Below are 8,746 nucleotides of genomic sequence, written 5' to 3'. Positions count from 1 at the left end.
ATGGAATGGAATCGAACGGAATGGGATTGAAAGGCATACAACATATGGAATCAAAAGGAATCATATGGAATCGATTGGAAACTAATGGAACGCGGTGAAGTAGAGTGTAGTGGAGTGGAATGAAGTGGAATGGAATTGGATGGAATGGAATTTAATAGAGTCGAGTGTATTGGAATGGGATGGAGTGGAATTAAATGGGAAGGGATTGAATTGAACGGAATTTAGTGGAGTGGAGTGGAGTGGAATGCAACGGAATGGAATGGAATGAAATGGAATGGAGTGGAGTGGAGTGGAATGGAAATTTTTGGAATGGAATGGACTGCAATGCAATGGAATAGAATGGAATGCAATGGACAGGATTGTGTTGAAATTGGGTGGAATGGACAGGACTGTAGTGGAATGGAAGGGAAAATAATGGAGCAAAATGGAATGGTAAGGAAGGGAATGGAATGGCATGGAATGGAATGGAGTGGAGTTGAATGGAATGGAATGGAATCGAATAGAAAGGACTCAAATGGAATGGACTGGAATGTAATAGACTCGAATGGAATGGAATCGAATGGAATGGATTCGAATGGAATGGAATCAAATGGAATGGAAACGTATGGAATGGAAACGTATGGAATGTAATTGAATGGAATGGAATCAATTGGCTTCAAATGGAATGCGGTGAAGTGTACAGGAGTGGAGTGGAATGGAGTGAAATGCAATGGGGTGGAACGCAATTGAATGGAGTGGAGTGGAGTGGAAGGGAATGGAATGGAATGAAATGGAATGGGAAGGAATGTAATTGAATGGAGTGGAGTGGAGTAGAGTGGACTGCAGTGGAGTAGAGTTTAAGTGGAGTGGAATGGAATGGATTGGAATGGAATGGATTGGAATGGAATGGAATGGAGTGGAGTGGAGTTGAGTGGAGTGGAAAGGAGTAGAGTGGACTGGAATGGAATGGATTGGAGTGGAACAGAGTACAGAGGAGTGGAATGGAATGGAATGGAAAAGAGTGGAGTGGAGTTGAGTGGAATGTACGGGAGTGGAGTGGAATGGAAATGATTGGAGTGGAGAGGAGGGAAACGGAGTAGAGTGGAGTTGAATGGAGTGGAGTGGAATGGAATGGAGTGGAGAGGAATGGAATGAAGTGTAGTGGAGTGTGGTGGAGTGCAGTGGAGTGGAGTGCAATGGAATGGAAAGGAATTTAGTGGAGTGGACTGGGATGGAATGGAATGGAGTGCAAAGGAATGGAATGCAGTGAAATGGAATGGAATCGAATGGAATGGAATGAATTGGAGTGGAGTGGAGTGAAGTAGAGTAGAATGGTGTGGAATGGAATAGAAAGGAATGGAACGGAATGAAATGGAATGGAATCGAATTGAGAGGAGTGGAGTGGAGTGGAGTGGAATGGAGTGGAATGGAATGGAATGGAACGGAATGGAAACAAATGGAATGGATTCCAAAGGAATGGAATTGAATGGAATGGAATCGAATGCAATGGAATGGAATGGAATGGAATAGAATGGAATGGAATCGAACAAAACGGAATTGCATGTTGTCTAACGGAATCGAAAGGAATGTGGTGAAGTGTAGTGGAGTGGAGTGTAATGGAGTGGAGTGGAGTGTAATGGAGTGGAATGGAATGCACTGCAATGGAATTGAATGGAATGGAGTGTAGTGGAATGGATTGAATGGAATGGGAAGGAATGGAATTGATTGGAGTGGTGTGGAGTAGAGTAGAATGGAATGGAATGGAATGGAATGGAATGGAATGGAATGGAATGGAAAGGAGTGGAATGGAATGGAGTGGAATGGAATGGAGTGGAATGGAATGGAGTGGAATGGAATGGAGTGGAGTGGAGTGGAATGGAATGGAATGGAAAGGAGTGGAATGGAATGGACTCGAATGAAATGGACTCTAACAGAATGAAATCAAATAGAATTTAATCAAATGGAAAGGAATAAAATGGAATGGAATGGAATCTAAAGAAATAGAATCTAATTGAATGGAATGCGTTGAAGTGTAGTGCATTGGAGTGGAATGGAATGAGGTGGAATGGATTTGAATTGAATGTAGTGGACAGTAGTGGATTGGTGTGGAAAGGAATGGAATGGGAAGGAATGGAATTGAACAGTGTGCAATGGAGTGGAGTGGAGTGGAGTGGAATGGAATGGAAAGGAATGGAATGGAGTGGAGTGCAATTTTGTGGAATGCAGTGGAGTGGAGTGAAATTGATGGGAATGCAATTGAGTGGATTTTAGTGTAAAGGAGTGGACTGGAATGGAAGGCAATGGAATTGATTGGGAACAAATGGAATTGAACAGAGTGTAGTGGAGTGGAGTGGAATGCAATGAAGGGAAAGGAGAGGAGTGGAATGGAATTGAATGGAATGGAATCGAATCGAATTGAATGGACTGGATTGGAATGGAATGGATTGGAATGGAGATCAACGGAAGGAAATCGAATGGAATGGACTCAAATGGAAAGGAATCGAATGGAACGTAACCGAGTGGAATGGAATCAAATGGAACGGAATCAAATGGAATGGAATTGAACGGAATGGAATCGAATGGAGTGGAATCGAATGGAATGCAATGGAATGGAATGGAATGGAATGGAATGGAATGGAATGGAATGGAATGGCATAGAATGGAATGAAATCGAATCAAATGGAGTCGAAACGAATGGCATTGAATGGAATCGAATGGAATGCGGTGAAGTGGAGTGGAGTGGAATGGAGTGGGATGGAATGGGAAATAATGGAATTGAAAGGAGTGGAGTGGGGAGGAGAGGAGTGGAATGCAATGGAAAGGAATGGGAAAGAATGGAATTGAAAGGAGCGGAGTGAGGTGGAGTGGAGTTGAGTGCAATGGAATGGAATAGAATGCAGTGCAGTGGAATGTATTGGAGTGGAGTGGTGTGGAGTGGAGTGGAGTGTAATGGCGTGGGATGCAGTGGAACGCAGTGTAGTGGAGTTTAGTAGAGTGGAGTGGAATCGAGTGTACTGGAATGGAGTGGAATGGAATGGACTCGAAAGAAATGAAATGGAATGGAATGGACTGGAATGGAATAGACGCCAATGAATTGGACACGAAAGGAATGGATTCAAAAGGAATGGAATGGCATGAACTGGACTCGAATGGGATGGACTCAAATGCAATGGACTCAAAAGGAATGGAATGGAATGGAAAGGAATTGAATGGAGTGGAATTGGAAAGGAATGGAATGGAATGGCATGAACTGGACTCGAATGGGATGGACTCAAATGCAATGGACTCAAAAGGAATGGAATGGAATGGAACGGAATGGAATGGAATGGAATGGAATGGAATGGAATGGAATGGAATGGAGTACGATGGAGTGGAATGGATTGGAATGGAGTTGAATGGAATGCAGTGGAGTGGAATTGAATGGAGTGTACGGAAGTGGATTGCAGTTGAGTGGAATGGAATGGAATGGAATGGAATGAAATGGACTCGAATGGAATGGACCCTAATGGAATAGACCAAAATGGAATGGACTCGAATAGAATGCACTCGAATGTAATGGAATAAAACTAAATGCAGTCGAATGGAAAGGAATCGAATGGAATGGAATCGAATGGAATGGAGTCGAATGGAATGGAACCAAATGGATTTGAATTGAATGGAATGGAATCGAAAGACATCAAAAGGAATCGAATGCAATGCAGTGAAGGGGAGTGGATTGCAGTGGAATGTAGTGGAATGGAATGGGTTGGAATGGAATTGAATGGATAAAACTGGAATGGAATGGAATGGAAGGAATGGAATTGAACGGAATGAAGTGCAGTGGAGTGAAGTGGAGTGGAATGCAATGGAATGGAATGGAATGGAGTGGAGTGGAGCTGAGTGGAATGCAACTGAATGGAATGGAATGGAGTGATGTGGAGTGGAGTCGAGTGGAATGGAGTGGAGTGGAAAGGAATGGACTAGAATGGAATGGAATGCATTTGAATGGAGTGGAATGGCATGGCGTGGAGTGGAATGGAATGGAATGGAGTGCAGATTGGAGTGGAGTGAAGTGGAGTGGAGGGCAGTGGAATGGAATCGAATGGAATGGAATAAAACGGAGTGCAGTGAAGTGGAGTGGAATGGAGTAGAATTGAACGGAATGGACTGGAATGGAATGGACTCGAATATAATGGAATGGAATGGAATGGATTGGAACGGAGTGGAATGGGAAGGAGTGGACTCGAATGGAATGGACTGGAATGGAATTGACTAGAATGGAATGGACTCAAATAGAATGGACTCGAATGCAATGGACTGTAATGGAATACAATCAAATGGAATGAACTCGAAAGGAATGGAATCAAGTGGAATGTAATCGAATGGAATCGAATCAAATGGAAGGGAATCGAATAGCATCGAATGGACTCGAATTTAATGCATTGATGTTGACTGGACTGGAGAGAAACGGAGTGGAATAGAACGAGGGGGAATGAAATTGAATGCAGTGGAGGGGAGTAGAGTGGAAGGGATTAGGAATGGAATGGAATGGGAAGAAAATGAATTGAACAGGGTGGAGTGGAGTAGATAGGAATGGAGTGGAGTAGAATCGAATGGAATGGAATGAAATGGAAAGCAAAGGAACTGAGTCGAGTCAAGTGGATTGGAATGGAATGGAGTGGAGTTGAATGGAATACAGTGTAGTGAAATGGAGTGTAGTGCAGTGGAATGGAATGGAATAGAATGGGATGGAATAAAATTGAGAGCAGTGGAGTGGACTGGAATGGGGTGAATTGGACTGGAATGGAGTGGAATGGAATGTGGTGAAGGGAATTGAATGTAGTGGAGTGGAGTGGACTGGAAAGGAGTGGAATGGAAAGCAATGGGAAGTAATGGAATTGAACGGAGTTGAGTGGAGTGCAGTTGAGTGGAATGGAATGGAATGGAAAGGAATGGAAAGGAATGGAATGGAAAGGAATGGAAAGGAATGGAAAGGAATGGAATGGAAAAGAAAGTAATGGAATGGAATGGAATAGAATGGAATGGAATGGTATGGTATGGAATGGAGTGACATGGTGGGGAATGGATTTGAATGGAATGGTGTGGAGTGGGATGGGATGAAGTGGACTGGATTGGAATGGAATGGATTGGAAAGGAATGGAATGGAATGGATTCGAATGGAATGGACAAGAATTTAATAGAATGGAATGGAATAGAATGGAATGGAATGGACTCGAATGGAATGGAATGGAATGGACTCGAATGGAATGGACTGGAATGGACTCGAATGGAATGGACTGGAATGGAATGAAATCGAGTGAAATGGAATCGAATGAAGTTGAATCAAACGGAATTTAATCAAACGGAATGAAACCAAATGGAATGGACTGGAATGGAATGAAATGGAAAGGAATGGACTCAAATGGAATATACTCGAATGGAATAAATCAAATGGCATGGAATCGAAAGGAATGGAATCGAATGGAATGGAATTGAATTGAATGGAATCGAATGGAATGGAATGGAATTGAATGGAATCGAATGGAATGGAATCGAATGGAATGTTATTGAATGACTTCTAATGGAATCCAATGTAATGTGATGAAGTGGAGTGTAGTGGAATGGAGTGGGATTGAAGGGGGTGGAATGAAATTGAATGCAGTGGAGTGGAGTGGCCAGCAATAGCGCGGAATGGAATGGAATGGGAAGGAATGGAATTGAATGGAGTGGAGTGGAGTCGAATGGAGTGGAGTGGAGTCGAATGAAATGGAATGGAATGTATTGGACAGTAGTGGAGTGGATTTCAGTGGAGTGGAATGCAATGGAATGGAATGGAGTGGAATGGAATGGAGTTCAGTGGAGTGGAGTGGAATGGAATTGAGTAGAGTGGAGTGAATTGGAGTGGAATGGAGTGGAATGGAATGGATTGGAGTGGATTGAAGTGTACTGGAATGGAATAGAGTGGAGTGGAGTGGAGTAGAATGAAACGGAATGGAATGGAAAGGAATGAATTGCAATGGAATAGACTTGAATTGAATGAACTGGAATGGAATGGACTGGAAACAAATGTACTCCAATGGAAGGGACTCGAATGGATTGTACTCGAATGGAATGGATTCGAATGGAAAGGAATCACATGGAATTTAATTGAAGGGAATATAATCGAATGGAACAGAATGTGTTGATGTGGAGTGGAGGGGAATGGATTGGAAGGGAATGGGGTGGAATGGAATTGAATGCAGTAAAGAGAAGAGTCTTGGAATGGATTGGAATGGAATGGGATGGAATGGAACTGAACAGAGGTGAGTGCAGTGGAGTGGAGTGGAATGCAATGGAATGGAATTGAACAGAGGTGAGTGGAGTGGAGTAGAGAGGAATGCAATGGAATGTAATGGAATGGAGTGGAGTGGAGTGGTGTGGAGTCGAATGCAATGGAGTGGAGTGGAGGGGAGTGGATAGGAATGGAATGGAATGGAGTGGAATGGAGTGGAGTGGAGTGGAATGGAATGGAATCGAATGGAATGGAGTGGAATGGAGTAGAGTGGGGTGGAATGGAATGAGATGGAATAGAATGGGAAGGAATGGAATTGAATAAAGGGGAGTGGAGTAGAGTGCAGGGGAATGCAATGGAATGGAATGGAATGGAATAGAGTAGGGTGGAGTGGAGTGGAATGGAATGCAATGGAATGGAATAAAGTGGAGTGGAGTGGAGTGGAAAGGAATTCAAAGGAATGGAATTGAATGGAATTGAAAGGAATCACTTGGAATGGAGTGGAATGCAGTCGAATGGACTGGAATGGAATGGACTCGAGTAGAATGGAATTGAATGGAATGGAATGGAATGAACTCAACTGGAATGGAATCAAATGGAATGGAATCGAAAGGAATGGAATCATATGGAATGTAAAGGAATGGAATGGAAGGGCAAGGAATGGAATGGAATGAAATGGAATGGAATGGAATGGAATGGAATGGAATGAAATGGAATGGAATGGAATGGAATGAAACGGAATGGAAAGGAATGGAATGGAAAGGAATGGACTCGAATGGAATGGACTGGAATGGAATGGAATTGAATGGAATGGAATAGAACGGAATGGATTCCAGTGGAAGGGAATCGAATGGAATGAAATTGAATGGAATGGACTGGAATGGAATGGACTGGAATGGAATGAACTGGAAAGGAATCGACTGCAATGGAATGTACTCGAATGGAATAAATTGAATGGCATGGAATCGAATGGATTGGAATCGAATGAAATGGAATTGAATGGAATGGAATCGAACGGAATGCAATCGAATGGATTGTAATTGAATGACCTCGAATGGAATCCAGTTGAATGTGGTGAAGTGGAGTGGAGTGGATTGGAGTTAAATTGAATGGGGTGGAATGGAATTGAATGCAGTGGAGTGGAGTGGAATGGAGGGAATGGAATGGAATGGGAATGAATGGAATTGAACGGAGTGGAGTGAAGTGGAGTGGAATGCCAGGGAATGGAATAGAATTAACTGGAGTGGAGTGGATTGGAGTGGGGTGGAATGCGATGGAATGGAATGTAGAGGAATGAAATGGAGTGCAGTTGAGTGGAGTGGAATCAAATTGAGTGGAGTGGAATGGAGTGTATTGGAGTGGAATCCAGTGGAATAGAATGGAATGGAGTACAGTGGAGTAGAGTGGAATGGAATGGAGTGGATTGGAGTGGAGTGGAGTAGAATGGAATGCAATGGAATGGAACGGAATGGAACGGAATAGAATGGAATGGAATGGAATGGAATGCAGTGGAATAGAATGGACTCAAATAGAATGAACTGAAATAGAATTAACTGGAAACCAATGTAATCCAATGGAAAGGACTCAAATGGATTGTACTCGAATGGATTGGAATCGAATGGAATGGAATCAAATGGAATGGAATTGAATGGAATTTAATTGAAGGGAATGTATTCGAATGGAACAGAATGTGGAGATGTGGAGTGGAGTGGAGGGGAACGGATTGGAAGGGAATGGGTGGAATGGAAATGAATGGAGTGGAGTGAACTGTCTTGGAATGGAGTGGAAATGAATTGAATGGGAAGGAATGGAATTGAAAGGAGGGGAGTGGAGTGGAGTGGAATGCAATGGAATGTAATGGAATGACGTGGAGTGGAGTGGAGTGGAATGCAATGGAGTGGAGTGGAATGGATTGGAGTGGAATAGAATGCAATGGAATGGAATGGAGTGGAATGGAAAGGAGTGGATTGGAGTGGAGTGCAGTGGAATGCAATCAAATGGAATGGAATGGGAAGTTATGTAGTTGAACAGAGGGGAGTGGAGTGGAGTGCAATGGAATGCAATGGGATGTAATGGAATGGAGTAGGGTGGAGTGGAGTGAATGGAATGCAATGGAATGGAATGGAGTGGAACGCAGTGGAGTGGATTGGAATGTAGTGGAGTAGAGTAGAGTGGAGTGGTGTGGAATGGAGTGGAGTGGAGTGGAAAGGAGTGAAGTGGAATTGAGTGGAATGGATATTATGGCAGTGGAGTGGATTGGAGTGGAACGGAGGGGTAAGGAGTGGTTTGGAGTGGAATGGAGTGGAATAGAGCGGACTCTAGTGGAGTGGAAGAGAGTGGAATGGAATGGAATGGAGTGGAATGGAATGGAATGGAGTGGAATGGAAGGGAATGGAATGGAATGGACTCGAATGGAAAGGACTGAAATAGAATGGCGTGAAATGGAATGGACTCAAATGGAATGAATCGAATGGAATGGAATCAAAAGGAAAGTAATCAAATGGAATGGAATCAAAT

At 43.2% G+C, this 8,746-nt stretch overlaps 1 annotated feature.

Moving 5' to 3' along the window:
- Positions 1 to 8,746: part of a centromere (Linear centromere model derived predominantly from reads generated in PMID: 17803354. This region does not represent an actual centromere sequence, as long-range ordering of repeats and unmapped WGS contigs is not provided by the model. For details of model production, see http://arxiv.org/abs/1307.0035.) that runs on past both edges of the window.

This window comes from Homo sapiens, chromosome 14 (genome assembly GCF_000001405.40).
Source record: "Homo sapiens chromosome 14, GRCh38.p14 Primary Assembly".
Lineage (NCBI taxonomy): Eukaryota > Metazoa > Chordata > Mammalia > Primates > Hominidae > Homo > Homo sapiens.
Note: the sequence above shows the minus strand (reverse complement) of the source record. Positions and strands in the feature narration are given on the sequence as shown.